The following is a 25,385-nucleotide window of genomic DNA, read 5'->3' as shown; positions in this document are numbered from 1 at the left end:
GGTCGGTGTTTCTGTAAGTTTTAATACATTTTAACATTTTATCATAGATTTGTGGATATTTTATAGTAGTAAATGACAAAATAAACTATCTACATGTATTTTATGCATTCATGTCATAGTTTACTTCTTAAGTTTTCAAATTTATAACCCATGTGATTGATCTGTGAGTTTTTTTCCAAACTCTCACAAATCTCCAGAAACTTTTCCAATATATTTATTGAAATAAATCCACATTGAAGTAAATTCATACCACTTAACGTGTTGTTCAAGGATCAACCATATATATAAATAATATTATAAAATCCATTATTCCAAAATAATGAATTACTATGTCAAGCTTGAAAGCAAATATAACAGTTTTATTTTAAAAATGAAGTTCACATGATAAACATGAAGATTACATTATGCTTCTAACACAAAATTCTATGAATTTCTTTGTGCATCTCTCTGGATTTTCACAATGATATGGCACTGTACATACACATTATCATCATGTCTTTGCTATTTCAGCATGGATCCAATTTCAAATGTGTTTTCTCATTGGAAAACCATGTGTCAGGTAGACTTTCCATATAATTGGCTTAGGCAATCTGATCATTGTTTCCACAACATGTTAATCTACCTTGTACTCCTTTAAGGCAGCTAATCACTAGAAATAAGAGGCATGCCAATTACATTTTCAATATATCCTGAGAAGGGTATCTTAATTTGTTTCCTGTGAATTTTACCCTGTAAATGGTGATAAATAACAACTTCTGAAATCTTTCTGAGAGTTAAGTGTAGTTTAAAATTTTTCTGAGAGATATGTTTGGAATATATTTGGAACTCTTTTAGGAAAGAAAAGTCCCTCTACAAAATAATGGAGCTTAAAATCTATCAATCTTTCTCTATGTTTGTGTCAAATAAACACAGATAGCAACATTAATTCAAGAAAGTTTCATAAACAGAGCTTAAAAGAAAAGGACATAGGTTTAGTTTCTTTTTAAAATCTGCAACTTTTTTAATGGATTAAATAAATTAAAGTTTATTTAGAATATAAGAAAATAAATTTTGAAGTATTTTTACAGTTGAAATGCCTTTATGTTACTGAATTCATTCACTCACAATTTAATGTAAGATATTGCAATGTAAATTTTAAAGCAAGCCATGTATATACGCAGAAATATTTAATAGCACCCACCTATTCTGCTTTGAGATTTGTTTTTCATGATGAATAGCAACATGTGATACAGTAATAAAAAAACTACAAAAGGCAAAAGAAAAGCGTTTCTGTATAGCACTTCAAGGCAATTTGGAAAGTCATAGGTTCATCATATAAATAATGGCTTCTGAGATCTGATCCTTAGAGTTTCATAAAAATAAATTGCTTTTCAATAGTTAGTGCTGAAGCATTCATTAACAGAAAGAATTCTACAACAAGGCTCGAGTTCTATATTACACAATAATATTTTTTAAAGATACATAGACTAAATGGCAAACGTAACTACGTGACTTGATTTTGAATAATCTTTGAAGAAGTCTTAAGGAAAAAAATATTATGATTCCTAGGTGGTGTTTCTGTGTAAAAATAGTCAGTACTCCATTTTTGCCCTTCCCTGACCGTGCTTGACAATACCTGTACAATTTCAAGCTACTTGACTTCAAGGAAAAGTATTATGCAATATCAGGATTAAGCCCAAGGTGAAAGCAATATTTATAAGGAACATAAGTGTTAAAAGAGCCCATCACTCATATTTAATCACAAGATAAAAGGTGTTGATAAAAGATGGTTTGCTATGTTCTTTAAAAGATGGTTTCAATTTATTATAATAAGTAATAGCTAGCAGGTGACACATAACAATTGTACTTTAATGTGATTTCTGAGTTCCCTAAGAGTTGGAAAACTTTCTTCTCATTCTTAAAGAGTTGGATGTAGTGTTGGTTTGTGTGGGGGGTGGTGATTTTGAAAATTGTCAATCAGTTACCAGTTCAACAGTTAGAAAGAGACCTTCATACTTCCTACTGATGGACTGCAAAATTTGTCATGTATCAGTACACTCTGGAGTAATGCAAAATTCCTTCCAATGGGCTATCAGTAACTCAGTTGGCCTCACTAGGGTATTACAAGGAGTTTTTTTTATCGCACTTTGAAGGACAGTAGAGTGCCGTTGTATTCCGAACACGGACATTAAAGAGGTAGAAACATTTACATTACCCTTTTGATCTGACAGTCTTTTAAAAACTAGAAAATAACTTTGCTAGTTTTCAACAGAGATCTAACCAGACATTCACAAAGCATTGGTTTTCACCCAACACTACTGTCAACCTTCCATGAATTAAGTATAGAGCATGAATCCTTAGTTTTCAGTCCCTAGTTGTAACTAAAATATCTGCAATCGCTCTCCTCCTGGCATCACCATCTTCCCTTCCTTGCATCACCTCCTTACAATAAATTCTATGTGATTGAGAATGAAAAGCAAAAGCCAAAGTGAAATGGGAAAAAATAGAGCAGGATAAACTTTATCTATCTTGTTGCTTTCTTAAAGAAATCACAGATCAATCTGCTGGGACACACGAGAATTGGAAATTTCACTTCAAAGCATGGAATGAATGTTATCTCATTATTTTGTCCCTCACTTTTGAAGGTATTTGGTTTAAGTGATGGCATATAAAAAATAAAATGAATTCAATTCATCATTCTGGCTATGTTGCTGAGTGTCCTGGTAAGAAAATTGATGCTGTATACCATGATTAGAATGTTTTCCATCTTGGCCTGGGATCATTTCATTTTCTTTTAGGAAATGAAAAGAAGTTTTTGTATATGCTGTCAAAACTTCACATTTTCTCAGATGTGTTTAGAGGCATTTTAAGCTCATTGTATTAGATGAATTAGAGGATATGGTATATATGGTAACATCTAACCTAAAACTATACACTCTAGGTTATCCAATTTGTTAATTTTCATTTCAAGGTTCAACTAATATGATTTCAGTTTTTTTCTTTTAACAGTGCTATAAATTGCTTGGTGTTGGTTGCAATACATGCAAGAATTGTAACCTCAGGGAAAGGAGTATAAATTAGAACCTAAGGTGGAGGCTCAAGGATAAAATTAGTGAGCTGATTAAAGGTGCTAATAACACTAGAAGCAATTGCCATTGGAAATAGAAAAACTTTCCAATATTCCAAACGCCACCGGAAATACCTGTATTTTGACTTATTGGTTAGAAAACTCATGATAATAATTATAAATAATAAAATAGAAGCAGAGAGCTTTTCTAGCTTAATTCTGTGATTTGTTTTATATGACACAGTTTAATAGTTACATGGGCCCTGTGTATAAAAAATCTATACATTTCAGTAAATAGCTTAAGACTATACATATAGAACAATAAAAGCAAAAAGTGTGATACGAGTAGGAGTAACATATTAAAGCATACTCTAAGTAAGTGTGTCAAGCCATGTCTGTTTTCTACCTTCAACACAAAGATGGCCAATCAGGTGGCTGTGCTTCTACTGTAGAATTCTACAGGCAGAGTCAATGTTCATGAGTTGGGGAATAATGTCTGTTTTCCTAGGGCGTTCTATTTAGGATTAAGTAAGATTCTAAACAACTAGAGACAGTAGGCAAAAGGGCAGGGAATTATTTAAATTTTTATCAGGATTGCAATCAAGTAGAGAGATGTTTATTGCAGCATTCCAGTCCAAGTAAATCGAGAAAGAATGACAAAACAGAATACGAGAAATTGACGCAATATTTTACAGGTTGAGATGGTGAGGAAATGTGTGCCGTATGACCGCCCAAAACTCTAGTCCACAGCATCCTGTTTTGACTTGGAAAAGTAAGACTAGGTAAGAGTTCCCAGCTGGGTGAGGCTAGAACTCCCTTTCATTTCCCAGCTTGACTGCCAGGTATTCACTATTTGGGGTAGGCTGCGTCTGCAAGTGGAATTTCTTCAGTAGGTAAGGCTCCAGATGTTTGAGGAACTTAATTATGGGCAGATATCATTCAACAGTGTTCAGTTCTTAAGAATATAGAGCTGTTTACAAGAAATGCATCACTCAGGAGCCTGTAGTTCCAGAAAATATTTATAAGGATTGCGTATTGGTGGCCCATTGGTCAAATACCATCTGCATAAATGCTTTACTCAGACTCCACAGAGCTTTATACATCTTGAAGTAATTTTCTGTTTTAAAAATCAGAGTGTTTTCAAATAAATATGTGGATGGTAGGTGCTTTGTGAGAAATTAGTGATGGTGTATTCACATCTCTACATGATAAGGATCAACATCACCAACATTCATGCTCTCTACTTGACCATAAACCCATCATTCCTTATTTATTTATTTATGAGATGGAGTCTCGTTCTGTCAGCCAGGCTGGAGTGCAGTGGCGCGATCTCGGCTCACTGCAAGTTCCACCTCCCGAAACCCATCATTCTTACACCTAACCTGTTTTACATACTTGTATTAATTTAACTACCAGCCACTTGGGCCTTTGGGTTTTTAACTGTAGTATTGCCAGCCTCTCCTTCTCACTTTATTTCTTTTAAAATATTTTTTGCCTTTATTGAACTGGAAATGATTTTTGTTACTTACTTCTTCAAATTATGATATATGCCTATTAGAGGAAGAATCTCCTCTGGAAAAACAGAGTATGTGTGCATTGTTCAAGTGGTAAAGCATTATCATGGTTAACTGCTTGGCTTTGAGTCTTAGCTCCATAACACACATCCCTTGTGACACTGGTAAGTTTCTTAACTTTCCTAACCTCAACTGTTTCATCTCTAAAATGAAAACAATTACTATTATAGTATAATATTATGTAATACACATATGCGTGTGCATGTATACATATGTATATATTCTTATAACATATTTAAATAGAGTGCTTTATATGAAAGTATTACAATGGGATAGTAGAGATTATTACAATATAATACAGTATAATAATGGTAATGATAACAATATTTAAGATATATCTATATGCTCACCACTACTTTTCTCTGTGCTCACCTCTACTCTAAGTGCTTTCTATCTACACTTTATTTATTCATTATAATAACCCCATGAGTTTGGTATTGTTATCATTGTCATCTACATTCAGATGAGATTTTAAAGCCATCATTCCAACTTCAGAGGCTATATTAAACCTTGGAAATAATGCAGCAAGGTACCTGACACATAAGAACTGATTTTCTAAGGAATACAGCCTAGGGTAGTTTTTTTTTTTTTAATTAACTACACTAAGCAACTGGGCAATGCCAAAATATTTGGGCAAATCAGTAGCTGAAGAATTTTATTACAGCAGTGCTTATGTTTACGTAGTAGAAGAAGGGAAGTACAATGTATTAGACCTATGTTAGTGTCAAGAATAGCAGACGCTGTAAATTTGGAGAACTATTATATTGTTTAGTCAACTAAATGTTATTGAGTGTTAGCTACTGTGATATTTACTTGCATAGTATTCTGAGATTGAAGCTATGCCTGTATGACAAATCTAAAGTCAATTAGATTTTTTTAAAAGAGAAACAATAGGGGTGGGACTACAATCAATAAAGCAGTGATCTGCAACAATGTTTGCTTTGACAACTGACAAAATCCAGGAACTCTAGCTTTTATCACTCCAAAGAGCAGGCAGTCAGTCCACCTTGACAGGTTGCACTGTCTTCCCTTTGATAAATACAGTTGCATTCAGTTCAAATAAAATAGCAGTTGTGTGGACAAATGCTCTACAAACTCAGTGAAGACGGAATCACACTCAAAGCTTCATTCTTTTTTACTCAAAAGGGAGCCAGACTTGCCACTAATTAATTGATTTCCTGTATGAAAAGATCTGCTCCAAGAGCGCTTCACCTATTGAAAATCCTGATTTGAACACTAGATAAATAGAGGTCCTAGAAAACCTCCAACAAAAACATTTGATTGAGTAGCTATGTATGAATGCAATCTAAAAACCCTGTTATAACTTATTATTAAGCTAATTATACTGATAATGGTAATGCTAGAGGCAGAACAATTAGAAGAAAAGAGTCAGAGGACCCCTGTCGTTTTTCCCCTAACTAAATTTGTGCTTCTGCCATTACATTACATACAGTGCTTGACATTATTTTATAACCCTCTACCAGTAAGAAGTTGAAAAATCAGTAGACAAAGCAAGATCACACAGAGAAAAAAAGTCTGAAGAATAATTATAACATTTTAAGCACATATTAAGCACCAGGCATTGTGATAAATGAGCTTTATACTTTTAAATGTGATATTCATTTAAATCATTCCATGGGCTATATATATTATCATAGCCTCCACTGTATGGGTGTGAAAACTGAAACCCAAAAGAGTTACATAAACTTCTTTAGAATGGACAGCTCCCACATGGCACAAACAAGATCTACATACCTGCGGTCTGACTAGACCACAGCCTCTCAACCACTGCCCACACTATTATAAATGGTTTTGTATAATTTTATTTAAGTATCCCCCAAATCATACTTAAAGGAATATTGAGAAGTATAGAAGTTAACTGACTTGTCCATTAGAAGCAGTGATCTAAAGCCCTGATTCCCTGTACAAAGTCCATTCTCTTTTCTTGACATCACATTTCACAGTAACTATAGAAAACCTGAAAAAAAAAATGACCTATAACATCATTCAACATCTACCATAGGCAATATGTCCATGAAGTCTTATGAATGGAACATGGAAAGAAGACAGCACATGCTCTGAGTGAGAAATCTCAAGGAAAAAGCAAATTTAAAGGTGGACCTTCAAGGTATTATAAGGGCTTGCATATTCTGAAAAGAGGGTGCCTGGGATTCCCTGTAGTTAACCCAGAATGTATAACTGCACTGCCTCAGGTAAGAACATGGCATGCTCCAGAGCCATTGATAACCGAAGGCTGTGTCTTTACGCTTTCTTTGGAGAACTGTGTCCTGCAGAACTTGGCGAGATACTGGGCATTTAAATAGGCTCTTATGTGCTATTTCCACTATACAATGTTGGCTTGTTACCTAAGTGTGCTTTAAAAAACTTCCATGCATTTTCAGGCACAGTTCTGAACTCGAGCCCAAGTAACCCCAAAGTCCAAGTTAGAGCTGCCATTAAATGTAGTACTCATAATTCAAGGTGCTGAGAATTTTTAAACAAGATTTTTTTGTTTGTTTTTGAGCATTGCACATTATTGTTGTGGGCTCAATTTGTGATATGCCACGTTCTGCCTCAGAACACTTTTGTTCAAAAGAGGTGCTGAGGTAGCCCTCTCCTATCATATAGTTATGGACGATATTAATATTTATCCAAAATAATGTTTTCCAAGTGTGTTCTGATTGAATTTCATCATCATTTTAAAATACTATTCTTATAAATAAAAGGCAATTTACCTATAACCTTTCCATTACAATTCAAAAAACATCTCTGTAACTGCAAAATAATTGATAAAATATGGGGTAAAAATCACTATTCTTCTTTTGGTCCTGTTTGTTTTCAAAATTTAAATCAGGGCTTGTAATTTAATTCTGTGACTCTGGAAAGCATGATGATCTGATGCTATTCATTTGCTTTTAAATAAAATCACACTGATGAATATGTATTGGGAATTAGTTATTTTCCAATTTTATGCAACTCTTGTAGAACTCAATTGCTAACAATTAAGTCAGAAATACTGAGAGGAAAAGTTTAAAGAGATATAGCAAATTCTAGAGAACATGGCAGTGGTTGGGGGTGCACAGCAGTCAGCTGAGTAGCAGACTCTCTGAAAAGGGGATTAATATGTGGAGGCAAAAGAAGTAAGATATTCTGCTGAGGTACATATCATCTGAGTTGAACAACACATCCTAATTGGATGTGTCCTCGGAGCTAGGCACCATGCTAAGGACTAGAATTATAAAAGTGACTGCTATGACCACCATCTAGAAGAAGCTTTTGGTTTCAGTCCTTTTATGGCATTTGTTCCTAGTAGTAAATGTCTGCAAAATTCACTTCCATTTACCAGCTTTCTCATTTGATAGGAAAAGAAAATTTGGCACCTGATTCTGCTCTCTGCCTGACTTCCAACTGGAGTTCCTCCTAGCTTTCTAAATTACTTGGCACCAAGCGAGTCTCCTCTGCCAAAAAGTGACTAGCTCAATATTTGAAACTAGGCACATCAGCAAAATCCAGATTGAACACTGAAGTCACTTTGATTCAAATAAAGTGAGTCACCTGTACCTGGGAGGAAATTACTTATTACAAAAGATAACAGATTTGAAAGTGAAAAGAAAAAAAATAGAAAATGGGTTCTAAGTAGCTTTAGTAAGGTGAATTTTTTATTATAGATATTGTTGATATGTTCCAGAAGATGACGTATATAGACCTAATAAATATACTTAAGAATAAAATATATGCGTAGGGATCTTAGAAAATAGACAAATATATATCTGGACTAATATGTATATTCTATAATTTAACTGAATGGATTGTGGCCCACTGGCATTCTAAACAGGAAGAGAGAAATGGGGAAAAGCCACTGCTCTTTTAACTCATTAATTATTTAATTATTCCATTTATTCATTTATCCACCATCCAGTCATCCATTTAGTGAAATATATTTGTATTGAAAGCATACAATATATCAGTAACCTGAGAATGTTGAGGATAATGAAATGAATAAAACTATACTCTTTTTGTGGAACATACTCTAGTGGTAGAGGGTAATGGGTAAACAATAATTTGCAATACAGATGTGTCTATAGATAGGCATTTTTTATGTTTTATGGCGTGTCAAGCAGAAAAATTAAATTGCCTATTGTCTTGTGCCATGGGAACCTGAGGTCTCTGCTGCATCAGCACTCAACTTCTGCATACACACTCCCATACAATGCCCTCTCAGAGACACAAGCTTTAGCGTCATCTTAAAATGCCTACCCAGTTACAGCAAGATGGTAAAGAATTGTTACTTCCCACTCTCGTGGATTACAGTATAATACATAGGAAAATTTCCATCAAGTTGAATACATGTTTGAGGAATACATGAACTAGGTTGAGACATTAAATTGTTTCCCATGAAGTTACAAGAAATATTACATTATAATTACAGTATACTACTGTATTTGTTTATATTTTATTATATTTTTTGAAACTAATTTTCTAAGTTATTTCCCATATCCTCTTTTTTTTAAGTTCTTTAACACCAATTAATAAAATGTGATTCTCAAAGTGTTAAATGCAATATTCTGGAGAATTTGGTTTTCAAAAAAACAAGGATATAGACAGCAGGATTTGATTATTGTTTCATTTATGTACTAGAATCTATACAAATTGAATTTCATATTATGGACTCATTTTCATGCCTTGGGGAAAACTGTTCAGAGTTTGTTTGTTTCTTATCTTTCTTGTAAAGTACTTTTTCATTATCATTTTTATATTTACATACAGTAAAATTGATTTTTCTATGTAGAGTTCAGTGAGTTTCAACACATGTATAGATTCATGTAACCACTATCACAGTCAGAATACAGAATAGTTTGATGTAAACTCCTGAAAATTCCCTCATTCTGTCTTTTATAGTCAAACTTTCCACCGTTCATAATTCCTGACAATCATTGATCTGTTCTCAGCTTTATCTTTTCTAAAAAGTCATATAAATGGAATCATACAATATGCAACTTTCTGAGATTGGCCTCTTTAATTTAGCATAATGTTTTTGAAAGTAATCAATCAATGTTATTGTATGTATCAATAGTTTGTTCTGTTTTATTGCTCTTACGACTCTTTATGCATTTTCCTGTGAGCATATTTGGAGAGTTTCTTGTTTTCAGCAATTACAAATAAAACTGTTGTAAATATTCATGGCCAGGTTTTTTGTGTGTATGTACGTATGAGTAGGTGTGTGCATAGAAAATTTTTATCTCTCTAAGATAATGCCACAGAGTAGGATCTCTGGGCTATATCCGTGGGTTTTATCTTCCTAAGAGACCACTTAACTGTTTTCCAGAGTGTCTACACCATTTTGCATTCCCACAAGCAATGTATGAAAATTCCTGTTGGTCTATACCATTGCTAACGGTTGGTATTGTAAGTTTTCTGATTCTGTTTATTTTCTATTCTACTAATTGTGTACCAGTATATCATTTTGGTTTTAAATAGCATTCACAAGTTTAATTTTCATCCATATTACAAATATATGCTCTTTGAAATACACTGCTACAAGGATGAAGAGACAAACTAGTTATACTGAGAGAAAAATACAGCCAGCCTTTCATATCCATGGGTTCCTCATATGTGGATTCAGCAAATTTCTTAATAAAAATATTGGGAGAAACAAAGGATGGTTGCACCTGTACTGAAAATGTACAGTCATTTTTTTCTTGTAAGTTTTCCCTAAACAATACAGTATAGCAAATATTTACATAGCATTAACATTGTTTTAGGTATTTTATGTAATCTAGAGATGATTTAAAGTATACAACAAAGTATACATAAGTTATAGGCAAATACTATACCATTTTATATAGGCGACTTGCGCATTTGCAGATTTTGGTATCTGCAGAGAGTTCTGGAACCAATCACCCATGGATACAGAGAGAATTGTCTATTTGCAAATCACATAACTGACAAAGGCCTTGTAACCAGAAGATTCAGAACTCAGTATCAAGAAAAGAAACAATTCAATTAAAAGATAGGTAAATAATTTGAACAGGCAATTCACCAAAGAAGATATACAGATGGGAAATAAGCTCATAAAGAAATTCTCAACTTCTTTAGTCATTAGAGAAGCACAACTTAAAACCACAATGAGATATACTATACATCTGTTAGAATGGCTAAAATTAAAATAAAATTTAAAACCCAACAATACCAAGTTCTAGTTAAAATGCTGAGCCTTTATGTTTTTGTTTGTATGCTATTAATGTTTTAATAATCAGCAAATGACTATATCTGCTAACAAAACACACATCTGAGATAGCGTGTGCACAAAATCATATATTGTACATGTTTTTTCATGGTCTCAAATTGTACATGTGCATGTGAAACCATCATCTCTCCCATTAGTAGTGTGAAATAACCACATTAACAGTTAAATTAATATGCTTCTTTTTTTCAGTATATGTTAAAGAGGGAAATATCTATTACACAAAAACAATTGCTAATCTTAACCTACACAGTTACAGTAGCCTTAGAAGCACATCTATTTAAGGAAAACAAATTTTAATAGCAAGTACTACTACTGGTAATAAAAAATGTATCACTCTTCTCTGTATTTGTTGCCTCATCTCTAGTCTGAAACATCATCATTTCTAGCCAGGACCACTATTTCAACCTTGTAACCATTCTTCTGTTTTCATCTCGCTTCTGCCTTTATCCATTTTCCACTTTTTGTTCAGAGTAATAATGCATCATAAATATAATCGTATCATGCTATTGCTTGAAGTTTGCAATAGATTTGAACTATAAATAAAATTAAGATTCTTCTGTATTAATTTTAGCTAAGGTGTTGCAAACAGCTTTAATGAGTGAACTTGAAAATATATAATAGCTCAAATATAAGCACATTTTATTTATTTCTCTGGTAAAATCCAAAATATGTGTTACTGACTTGAAATGGAACTCTCCTTTAACTGTTTATTTGAGGTCTTCAGTGCTGAATTCCTCCATCTTCCCCATGTGACATCCAAGTTTGACATGATTATCTTCATCCAGCATATGAATGGAAAAAAGAGCAACTGCTCTCCTCTTGCATGGACCACACTTGGCCTATTTGCACAGTTAACTGTATTTTGTCCCGAGGTATACAGGTCTAATCGGAGATGCTTTCTGAGATAACCCTAAATTAGTTCCATCCACACTGCCCATAATTCTGCTCATCACATCCCTTTGCTTATTTTTTTCATAAAATTCATAAAACATTTGAACTAGGTTATATATGCATCTACTTAACTTGTGTCTCTTTCTCTATCAGAATTTAGTGTCCTGGAAGGAAGCAAATATGTTTCTCTTGCTCTCTATTGAAACTTCAAAGGCCAGTAAAGTATCCGACACATAGTTCGCCCCAGATAAATCCAGCTTATGCATGTGTTTGAATACTCTGATTGATAAAGAAAATAACAAGGTCCCTCTTCTCACTATTAGGCCCTCTGGCTTGTGTATATCAATACTTTATTACAGGATCATAATGCTCCACTTTACTGTAAGATAACCATTATCTTCAATAAAAAGTTGTTTTGAATTGAAGGTTGCTCTCAAGTGAGTCTTAATAAACAATATTTATCATGCAAGAGGTGAGGGAGAGCAAAAATTATACTAAATGGGTTCTAAAGCCCTAAGGCAAGGATGTGGTTTGCAGTTTTTAGGGTCTATGCTATACTAATAATTACACATAATTAACAAACCAATAGTGGAGGGTAAAAAAATATTTTAAAATACTGAACAAGAGCTAAAGAGGGAGATAAATAGAAACATAGGACACAAGGAATGAATTGAAAGTGAATGGTAATGTGGTAGATTTAATCACAAACAAATTAGTCTTACTATGACAGAAGAACTGACTAAATACTCGCATTAAAAGCAAAAGTGAAAACTAGCTACAGTAGTAACAATATAGTGTTTACATGAAGAATATCTTAAATAAATGGATATAAGAAAGAATGGAAAAGAGGCCGGGCACGGTGGCTCATGCCTGTAATCCCAGCACTTTGGAAGGCCGAGGTGGGTGGATCACGAGGTCAGGAGACCGAGACCATCCTGGCTAACACGGTGAAACCCTGTCTCTACTAAAAATACAAAAAATTAGCTGGGCGTGGTGGCGGGCGCCTGTAGTCCCAGCTACTCGGGAGGCTGAGGCAGGAGAATGGCATGAACCCGGGAGGCGGAGCTTGCAGTGAGCTGAGATCGCGCCACTGCACTCCAGCCTGGGTGACAGAGCAAGACTCCAACTCAAATAAAAAAAAAAAAAAGAAAGAAAGAACGGAGAAGAGTTATATCACATAAACAATTGCCAAAAGAAAGCCCTTGCAGCTAATTAAAGGTAAAGGAGACTTTAAGAAAAAAAAAGTAAGGAAAAAGTTTATATTTTTAAATGTTTGAACTCACCAAAAGTATCTAACAATTCCAAATTTTAAATAGTAGAATAACCTCAACTTCGATAACACAAAGGTTTACAGAACTGAAAGGAAAGCCACACAAATGCAAGACAGCTTGAGAAATTTTTCATGTACCTCTCTCAGTATTTTATAAACAGACATAAAATGTTAAGTTTGAGATGATTTGATAAACACAATTAAAGTTGATCTAACTGACATATACATAAAATTGGCAAGGGCAATGGAAACAGTTGCTTCAAGCACACAAACAACATTTCCAAAATTGTACATATGCTGGATCATAAACCAAAACTCAAGAGAATCCAAAGGCCTGATACCATACAATGTAGTTCTCTGCTAATAGTGGAATTAAGCTTCTAAACAAACAGAAAAACACTGCTGAAGCCCTGTATGTTTAGGAATTAAGATACATTCATTTGGCCGGGTGCGGTGGCTCAGGCCTGTAATCCCAGCACTTCGGGAGGCCGAGGCAGGCGGATCACAAGGTCAGGAGATCGAGACCATCCTGGCTAACATGGTGAAACCCCGTCTCTACTAAAAATACAAAAAATTAGCTGGGCAGGGTGGCGGGGCCTGTAGTCCCAGCTACTGAGTAGGCTGAGGAAGGAGAATGGTGTGAACCAGGGAGGCGGAGTTTGCAGTGAGCCGAGATAGCACCACTGCACTCCAGCCTGGGCGACGGAGCGAGACTCCATCTGAAAAAAACAAAAACAAAAACAAAAAAAAACAAACAAAAAAACAAAAAAGATACACTCATTTAAAGATTGCTTTGATTTCCCATGGAGAACTCATCGTCTCAACTGACCTAATCATTGCTTTATATTTTTGACTAGGTTTGAAGATAAAACACAGATCACTGGCAACAGGAGACAGTGGTATAGCATAATGGGTTATACTATGAGTTAGATGTACTTAATAAAAAAATTTAAAAAATAAGCATAACTCGAACTCTTCCTATTTAGCTCCCTTTTTTGCTCTCGTTTAGTCTTTTAAAAGTGTTACATTCATTTTATTTTTTGTTTTGTCTTTTTTTTATTAACTGAATTACCTACCTCTAATCACCTAACCAAAAATTTGATTAATGTAGGTAGATTGTCTTGCCATCAATATATTTCATAGTAAAATTAAGATAATAGAGTATTTATTCACAAAATTGTCAACAAAAATGGTATCAGACAATGCTTACTAAACACTTAGAAGTGTTTCTGGCACACATTAATCGCTTTATATACTTAAACTCTTATTGATATTATCATTATTGCTGCATTATCAACATTAATTTGCCTTCTGTGGTAAAACAAGGTCATATGTCTGTTAAATATTACAATCAAACGGTGCACACCCCTGTCTCATTTTTTATCATAACAGCCTCTTCTCCATGAGTGTTGCCTTCACCTTTCTTACAATAATCCAAACATTTCTCTAGGTATTTCTTTCTTCCCCCTCAAAGATTAGTTTATTTTGTACTGTCTTGCCCTTGGGCCTCTTCTTATCATATTGGTTCTTTACAATGCAAGAGACAATAAATTCCTCACATTTCTGTGATACTAGCTTAGGGTGTCCCAGGTCAAAAAATATTATCTTTTGTTGTTTACTTTCTTGGGACTTTTCCCTAAAGAATGTCACTGCAACTTTTGTTATTTATTGACTCAGAACCAAGACCTCCTTGATTACCTGATTTGTCCAAAGAGTCAGCCTAGAGGTACCATTTCTTTCTACCCCCAAATTATCTTGCTATCCTTCCCTGACACTAGGTCCTGACTCATTTTTTTAGTCCATAGCTGTGATGGAGATCTTGGTCCTCTCATTTACAATACTTCTGGGATGCTTATGTAGTTTTCTGACTATCTGACTAACTTCCTAAAAGCAGGAGGAGTAAACAAATTAGCATTCCACTTGTTAAAAACACACATAGTCAGTCCCCCGAATGAGAATCTTCAGACACCTGGAAATCTATATTTATAACGTAGGCCTATCTTTTAGAATGTTTTAATCACTTCCTAGTGAGATTACTTCTGCCTGACTTATTCCTTTTTCCACTCATTTACAAAACTGCTATAGGAGTTATTACTCTCTAGCTCTAAGTACATATTCTACTCCCCTATTTAACAAACTGTGTCCTCCTACTACCGCAAACCACACTTCTTAGGGTGGACTTTATTTGCTTAAGTAACTTAGATTCATGTATCAAAATGTATCTCAATACTGTTGCAACTTTATTTGACTCACTCCTTATTTTCTCATTGAAACAGAAACACGAATTACATTTTTATATTGAACTGCCATGGTTTATGTGCAAATACTTCCATGTCAAGAATCTAAGCCTTATAACCTGTGTAAATCAATCATGTTAAAGTATGTTTGTCTTCTCCTTAAGATTTAATTTTCATAAATCATCAACTTCTTTTGTGGGAGGGTCCAGGATAAGATGTGTTGGGTGATTGAGAAGTCAGAAAATATCGGCCAGCTCTTAATCCCCAGACATATTTATATAAAAGAAGACATCTATTCCAAAGCAAATTCGTAGGGATTCAGGATTAAAATAGGGAAGTGGAGTCATTTAAATTATCATCTGATTTATGTCACCAGGAATTTGTCTCAGGGTAGCTCAGGCAGGAGAATTGCTTGAACCCGGGAGCTGGAGGCTGCAGTGAGCCGAGATCGCGCCACTGCACTCCAGCCTGGATGACAAACGAGACTTGGTCTCAAAAAAATAACATAACATAACATAACATAACATAACATAACATAACATAACATAACATAAAATGGCTGAGTAAATGTGCAAAAATAAAACACTACTAAACTGAGATCATCTGCCCAGCGTGCAGTCTAACAATAAAGCTTAACATATTTGGGAGGAAGGTACATATGCCTGATTTAACCCTGGCCACTACAGAATACTGCTTACAGCAGTGTCAGCCTGGATACGACTGAGAGCAGAGCTGCTGCAAGATAATTGATGCCAATACAAAAAGCAGAAGACCTGTGCCCAAGAATTGTTAGCACCGAGACTGGAAAACAATCACATGAAGTAGAAGAAAAAGTCATTTATGATTCACAGGGACTAATGTGAGCTACTTCTTAAATAAGAATATGATGATGTAGTGGTGGGTGACTCTGTGTCCCTTGTGGTTTGTGTTCTCATAAATTTCATCTGTTTTTTTGTTTGTTTGTTTGTTAACTCCTTAATGAGGCTTTCCCTAAGCCCTCCCTCCAACCCAACCTCCCAGTTTAAATCTTTTTCTAACCCTAAGTCATTCTTTTTCTAAAAATTAATTAATTTATTTTTTATTATACTTTAAGTTCTGGGATACATGTGCAGAATGTGCAGGTTTGTTACATAAGTGTACAAGTGCCATGGTGGTTTGCTGGACCCATCAACTCGTCATCTCCATTAGGTATTTCTCCTGATGCTATCCTTCCCCTAAACCCCCACCACCGACAGGCCGAGGTGTGTGATATTCCCCTCCCTGTGTCCATGTGTTCTCATTGGGAGTGAGAATTTCATCTGTTTTAACATTTGCTCTTGATTTCTTTTTTACTTTTTATTAATCATTGAATTTAAGTAAATTCAGAAGCAATTGATAAATACATACGCAATGAAAATACTTTTTACCTTAACATGGTTAAATCAAAATAACATTTACCCTACTCACACCTTCATGTTTGGAGAAGTATGCAAGACATCTACTGATAGAGCAAAATAAGCTCAGAAAAACATAGTTAGGGATACCTAGTTCGTTCCCATAATGGGTGGTAGTAGAAGGGGTATTTAATGCTGCTGTTTCTGTCAGATGCTTGTTTACTATTCAATTGTCCCACGGCTTATGCCATTGATGGTGTGCAATGAATGAAATCACCAGGCCATTATTCAAGAGTTAGTGGGAAACATGAATAATATATGCCAGGAAAGAGAGACAGAGTGGGCCAGTTATAAGACACATAATGAGTAGTTAACTTTCCTGCTGTGGTGGGTTTGGCAAGTCTTACGTAAATCTATAACTATACAATATAATTATACAACCCTTAAATTCATATTTTGGTTTTATAAAAATTTTTCCTTTTGTAATAAACCCTGAAGAATCAGCTAGATAATGAAAGTTTATTTTATAGTTAAAAAGTAAGTACTGGATTTTATTTCAATGAAGTAAGTAATGATATAGTTATACTATGCACAAAATATTTGTTTATATTTATCATCTTCCATGGGGCTAATGGAGACACCAGTCACAGAACAAGAGAAGGAGAGGAAGTAAGTCTGCCAAAGACAAAGTGGCATTGATATGGTTTGGCTGCATTCCCACCCAACTCTCACCTTCTATTGTAACTCCCATATTCCCCACGTGTTGTGGGAGGGACACAGTGGGAGGCAATTGAATCATGGGAGTGGGTTTTGCCTATGCTATTCTCATGATAGTGAACAAGTCTCATGAGATCTGATGGTTTCATAACGGGCAGTTCCTACGCAAATGCTTGCTTGCCTGCTACCATGTAAGACATGCTTTTGCTTTTCCTTGGCCTTCTGCCATGATGGTGAGGCCTCCCCAGCCATGTGGAACTCTGAGTCTATTAAAGCTCTTTTTCTTTATAAATTACCCACTCTTGAGTATTTCTTCCCAGAAGTATGAAAATGGACTAATATGGGCATATATCTCCAAACATTCTTAGTTACCTAAAGAGGACTGTTTCAGAAAACAATATTTTAATCTTTGTAGTTACTAAAATGTGTTGATGTGTAATACTCTGAAGTATGACTTTACATTTGGATCAAATAACTGTTGTAAGTTATTTTTTTCTTCTTTCTTAAACAGATAAATTATGCCAGTTGTATCAATTACAGAAAAGCTTCAAATAGAATATTATTTAATTCTGATAATGGTTCAATTGTTTTATCCTTCAATATTTTGCCCCAAATTAATTTTTTTAAGTTTACTTTATTGAAGCTGGAACATGAGACATTACTATGAATGCTCTTGTAAATTCTGTTAAAAATTTCAGCTTTAAACACAAAATCTTAAATCTTTGTTTTTATAGTGACAATATAAATGGAAATTTTGACATAGCATAGAATCATGCTAAAAACATTATTTTTACATTAGTATATACATACATTGAATAGGTTTTTGTGCACACATAATTCATTAATCATGTTCAAATAAGCTGAGACAATCTACTAGTTAAACTAGAAATATAACCATTGCTTATTAAAATGCACAAATGTATATTTGAATTTACATAGTCACACAGAATTAGAATAAATAAACTATACTTTCTGGCACTGAAAATGATATTGAATAAAACAAACAAATGAAATCCTAAGCATGACAGATATGAACATGTGCTTTCTCTTTTCACCATATAATTACATTGATTTTTGAAATGTTTGGGCCTGTTCCTTTGAATAACTACTTCATTAATCAAATGACATTAGATTTTTTTAAAATTACAATTCTAAATTTTGGCAGTATTTGGATCAAAATCAGTAGAAATTTGTAAAAGACTGAGAATTAAAAATAAAATCCTAAAACCCCCAATTGACTGAACAGGCAAATACCTATTGGCCAAGGGAACCCCAGAGAAACCTTAAAAACTGAGTTTCTGGCCATGGTTTGATGGGAGGTTGAACAGGCTTCATTGTGCTCCCTCACTTTTGTGGTTTGGACACAACTGACCATCATTAATGTTAAAATAAAGATCAGAAGACTGACCAATTGCTATTCATATGATATTCAATACAAAGAAGGCCTAATTATTAGACAAAAGTCTAATATCCAGCATCTGTAAGGAACTTAAACAAATTTACAAGGAAAAAAACCAACCTCATTAAAAAGTAGGCAAAGGACATGAACAGACACTTTTCAAAAGACAACATACATGTGGCCAATAATCATATGAAAAAAATTCAACATCACTGACCGTTAGAGAAATGCAAATTAAAGCCACAATGACATACCATCTCACACCAGAAAGGCTATTATCAAAAAGTCAAAAAATAACTGGTGCTGGCCAGGCTGTGGAGAAAAGGGAAGGCTTATACACTGTTGGTGGGAGCGTAAGTTAGTTCAACCAGTTTGAAGGTTCCTCAAAGACCTAAAGACAAATACCATGTGACCCAGCAATCTCATTACTGGGTGTATATCTGAAGGAATAGAAATCCTTATATTATAAAGACATATACACACATATGTTCAATGTAGCACTGTTCACAATAGCAAAGACATAGAATCAACCAAAATGCCCATCAATGATAGACTGGATGAATAAAATGTGGTACATATACACCCTAGAATATTTTGCAGCCCTAAAGAAGAATGGGGTCCTGTCCTTTGCAGGAACATGGATGGAGTTGGAGGCCATTATCCTTAGCAAACTAAGACAGGAAATGAAAACCAAGTATCACATGTTCTGACTTATAAATAGGAGCTAAATGATGAGAACATATGGACACATAGAGGGGAATAACACACAATGGGGTGTGTCAGAGGGTGGAGGGTTAGAGAAGGGAGAGGATCAGGAAAAATAACTAATGGGTACCAGGCTTAATACCTGGATGATGAAATAATCTGTACAACAAACCCTAATAACACAAGCTTACCTATGTAACAAACCTGCACTTGGACCTCTGGAATTAAAATAATTTTTTTTTAAACCTGGAAAAACCTTCCTATTTGCTTATTTATACTTACATATCTTTTTCTATAACCAATAACAAAATATAAAATATAACAAAATAATACATTAAGTACTATTTGTTATTCATTAGCAATTTGCATATGCTAGGTCATTTAATGCTCATCAAGCAATATTGAATTGATAATGCTTATATCTGCAGAGCACACATTGAAAAAAAGATGCTCATAAGCATCAAATAAATCTAATCAAGACTTATTACAAATATTAGATCAATAATTTGAGCCAATGCCCTGCAACTCCAGAGATTTTGATTTCATGTTCTACCCTTGATTTAAACTCATTTTCATGTTTGAAATGTGTTTCTTTATATTAAATCAAAATCTATTTCTGCATTACAGTGGATCTCAAGCTTTAGAGACCTTAAGTATCATCTGGGGAAAAAAATCAGTTTCCAGCTGTGATGAAAAAATTTGTGATAGACCAGTGAATCTGCTGAGAACAACCAAAACAGTTTATTAAAATTAGAAGAAGCCTGATGAAAGAAATAAAAGATCTAAATAAATGAAGAAAAATTCAATGTTCATGGCAGGGGGACTGACAATTATTAAGATGCCAGTTCTTTCATACTTGATCTACAGCTTCAATACAATCCCAATCAAAATCCCAGAAAGTTATTAAGTTATTTTGTGGATCTTGACAAAGTGAGCTACAATTTATACGGAAGGTAAAACAAATGAACGAACAACAACAATAACAACAAAAACCACACAGAATTGTCAACACAATATCTGAGATGAACAAGTTCTGCTGACTGACACTACCTGACCAAACACTGTAGGAAACAAGGTCCTATGGTATTGGCAAAAAGATAAGTCAAACAGATCAAAGGAACACAGTAGAGAGTCAAGAAATAGACTCATGCAAATGCAATGAACAGATCTTTAACAAAGGCACAAAGGCAATTCGTCTGAGAAAGAATATTCTTTCCACAAACGGTGCTGGCACAACTGAACGTCCATGTACAAAAAAAAAAAAAAAAAAAAAAAAAAAAAAAAAAGAGAGAGAGAGAGAGGGAAACAGACAAGAAAATAAAATAAAATAAAATAAAAGAAGAGAAATTTTAAAAAGACAAGAATCTAGGCAAAGACCTTTGCTTCTCAAAAAATTAACTCAAAATGGATTATAGACCTATATTTAATGTCAAACTATAGAAACTATAAAATATCTAAAATGCAACATAGGACAAAATCTCGGTGACTTGTATTTGGCAGTAACTTCTTACATACATACCACATTGAAGCAAAATTATGAAAAAACGATATTGGACTTCATTAAAATTAAAAAGTTCTGTTCTGTGAAAATACCGTGAAGAGAATTTTTAAAAGTCACATATTGGAAAAACTATTTGCAAAATCTGTCTGATAAAAGATTAGTATCTAAAATATGAAAGAACTCTTAAAATAAACAAGCAATTCAATTTAAAACCTGGGCAGAAGGTCTGGATACCTCACCAAATAAGATATACAAGTGAGAAATAAACATGAAAAGACATAACATTAAATATCGCGAGGGAATTGCAAGTTAAAATAACAATGAGATACTATTAGACATCTATTAAAATGGAGAAAATGTGAAATACTGAAAATACCAACTGATGTTAAGGATGTGGAGCAACAGGGACTGTCACTCATTGCTAGTGAGATTGGACAAAGGCACACTCACTTAAAAAAGACAGTTTGTCAGCATCTGACAAAATTAAATATACTCCTATCATAGAATCCACCAATCACATTCTTTCGTATTTACCCAAATGAGTTGAAAACTTACAACCACAGAAATACCTGCACATAAATGTTCATAGCAGCTTTATTTATAATTGCCAAAACTAGGAAGTAATCAAGATGTCCTTCAATAGGTGAATGGATGAACAAACTCTGTTATATCATATAATATTATTCAACAATAAAAATAAATGAACTATCAAACCAAAAAAGACGTCAAGGAGCCTTAACTACCTATTGCCAAGAGAAAGAAGCCTATCTGTAAAGGGTGCCTACTGTATCATTCCAACTATATGACATCCTGGAAAAGGCAAAACTATTACAGATGGAAAAAAGATCAGAGGTTGCTAGGGATTTGTGGAGAGGGAGGGATGAATAGGTGGAATACAGGTGGATTTTTAGGGCAGTGAAACTGTTTTGTATGATGCTGTAATGATATGTACATTTCAGTATTCATTTGTCAAAAGCCATAATATGCATAACATAGAGAGTTAACCCTAATGTAAATCATAGATTTTGGCTAATAATGTATCAATATTGGCTTAATAATTGTAACAAATGCACCAGGCTAATTCAAAATGTTAATAATAAGAGAAACTGAGGTAGGAGGGGTGTATGGGAACTCTATACTTTTCTCTAATTTTTTTCTGTAAGCCTAAAGTTACTCAAAAATAAAATCCATATATAGATTATATATGATTATATATATTATATATGTGTATACACACACATATATACACACATATATAATATGTGACTCCATTATATCATTATAAGATATCTTATACTGGGGAAACAAGTAAACAGAAGTGAGAGTTTAAGATCCTTCTGTGAAGGATTTGGGAATAAAATATCCAAGGCATTATTTGAGACAACAGGAGGGCGATACTAAAGAGAAGGCCTCCGGAAGTGTTGGCAATGTTCTCTTTCTCCTTCTGGGTGATAGTGACAAAGTAGATCATGATTTCTGAAAATATATGCATGATATTACACTTGAATAAAATACAAAGAAACATGCAAATATAACACATATAAAGACTTTATGGTATTGGTTAGCTGTGGAGAGGGGAGAAATAGCATAGAATGGGAGTGAGGTTTAAAATTCACCTAAAATATTTTGTTTAAATTTTAGTTAACTCATGAATGCAAAAATAAATGGCTGTGTACTAAATCTGGATATTATATAAACTAACAGGTCCTTTTAACTATTTCTTGAATTTTTATCTTTTTTTTTTTTTTTTTTTTTTTGAGATGGAGTCTCACTCTGTCACCAGGCTGGAGTGCAGTGGCGCAATCTCGGCTCACTGCAACCTATGCCTCCTGGGTTCAAACAATCGTCCTGCCTCAGCCTCCCAAGTAGCTGGGACTACAGGTATGCACCACCACCCTCAGCTAATTTTTGTATTTTTAGTAGAGACGGTGTTTCACCATGTTGGCCAGGAAGGTCTCGATCTCTTGACCTCGTGATCCGCCTGCCTCAGCCTCCCAAAGTGCTGGGATTACAGGCATGAGCCACCATGCCCAGCCGAATTTTTCTATTTTTAATATAGTTTATAACTTCAATAATATTAAAATAACTAATAAATAGAATGGAAAGCATTGAGGGGTATCTAGTCACCTGGAATGCTTGCTAAAACTACATTTCCTGACATCAGTCCCAGAAACTGTGTTCTCGGTTTTCTGATAATCTCATTAAAACTCAGGAATCTGCATTTCTGCATTTTTAGTGAGTTACCCAAATTTTAAAAATCTAGATTTTATAAAGTTTCTGCCGTTTATTCTTACTTAGAAATGAAAAGGGAGTCAAGTCTCAGAAGCATTTTTTTTTTTTGTCCAGCAATCTCAGGAACTCCTTTATACTCAGAATATTTGTAATTATCTTACCTGTAGTGAAGAGAGAGGGGAGCAGGGGTTTTCAGGGAACTAAATGCGGGAAGGGGAGGTCACTTCGTTGGGGAGTGAGAAGTACAGAAGAAGATGCCAGTATGTCAGAGACAAACTGACCTATTTCTAGGGAATATTTGTGTAAGGCAAGTGCTTGATTACTTAGGGAAAAACGTGCCATACAAATGCAAATGATTAAATTACTAAATGGGCTCTACTATAGTTCTTGCACCTTTCCCTTCTGAGAGCACTATTAATGCAAGTCACATTATTGGATTGAGCAATGAGGGAGTAGAAGTAAAACACCACTTTCCCCCCAGAATAAGGAGTGCAGTACTCATGTAGCAGTACAAGCTGCAGACAAAACCCCTCAGACACCGAGTTAAAGAAGGAAGGGCTTTATTCGGCTGCGAGCGTCGGCAAGACTCACGTCTCAAAAACGGAGCTCCCTGAGTGAGCAATTCCTGTCCCTTTTAAGGGCTTAGAACTCTAAGGGGGTCCATGTGAGAGGGTCGTGATCGTTTGAGCAAGCAGCGGGTACGTGACTTGGGGCTGCATGCACCAGTAATCAGAACGGAACAGAACAGGACAGGGATTTTAATGATGCTTTTCCACAGAATGTCTGAAATCTATAGTTAACATAACCAGTTAGGTCAGAGATCGATCTTTAACTACCAGGCCCAGGGCACAGCGCTGGGCTGTCTGCCTGTGGATTTCATTTCTGCCTTTTAGTTTTTACTTCTTCTTTCTTTGGAGGCAGAAATTGGGCATAAGACAACATGAGGGGTGGTCTCCTCCCTTACTCACAATGCACAAAACCTTGTGTTTTCCTACATCATCACCCCCATTCCCCATACTCACATATATTCACGTTATTTTAAGAGTCACCTTTACAAATTGTTTATTTGATTCTTCCCAGTTACATTGATGTTGGTGTGAAAAACAAACAAAGATATTTCAAACAAGCAGAGAGTTGTGCTGATAGCCAGGTGTGTAGGGATTTGTTACATTTTTCTGACCATCTTTAATATTGAAACCCCACGGTCGAGGTCCCTTCATTTTTAATCCTGAAAGCATTTTAAAAGTCATGCAGGCTGAAAGATAAACACAATAGTTAAAATTGTCCTGTCATGTACAGCCTTATTACCTAGTATATTGCAATGGGAAATCATCTACAAGTCTAAGAAGCCCAGATTGGTAATTTTTGGTTAAATAGTTACCTTTCAGTATAGGTCCCTTTAGGGTCCAATTTACATAATAATGGAATAGATACAGTGTGCTTTTTCTAATTTAGTCTGAAGTGGTCCATGAGAGGGCAGTATTTTCATAGCTAGCTTTAGAGAGCCAGGGCCACCTGTGTGGAGAGGGTTAGGGAACTCATTCTAACTCAGTTTTCTTGTTTCCCTATACATTGAGAAATATCAATTTTTTCATATCTACATTCTTGAGTTTATTCATTTATGTATTCAATACATATTTATGAAGCACACACTATACTTCAGGAATTGTGTAAACTAAGGACAATACATCAGTGAACAAAATGGACAACAGACTGTTCCTTACTCTTGTGAATTTCACAAACATCACACAGAATAATTGCATATATAATTACAAATTGTGATAATCTATGCAATATAATTAAAGGAAATGAAGAGAACTTAGATTTTATTTCAGCTGTGTTACTAGTTAGAATCTGTATCAGATAATAAAAAGAAAATCTACTTGAATAAATATAGGTATAAAATTGTGCTGAGTGTGTCCTATGTGCTGGTAACTGTTGTGGCCACTGAGGTTAGAGTATTAAAAATGTCTCTGACTTAGAGTGTTATGTTCCATGGGGAGACATTGATCTTTAACAAGAAAGTATATAAATTATGCAAATTTCAAATAACCACTATTAAAAAATTAAAGTAGGTCAAAGGATAGAGATTTATGGGGGAATGGTATTTTATATAAGAAGATCGGAGATCTCTTAGAGGAGGTATCGTTTGCACAGATATTTGAATGAAGTGAGCAAGTCAATAGATTTCAG

This window comes from Homo sapiens, chromosome 17 (genome assembly GCF_000001405.40).
Source record: "Homo sapiens chromosome 17, GRCh38.p14 Primary Assembly".
In the NCBI taxonomy this organism is placed as follows: Eukaryota; Metazoa; Chordata; class Mammalia; order Primates; family Hominidae; genus Homo; species Homo sapiens.
This window is presented reverse-complemented; position numbering follows the sequence as displayed.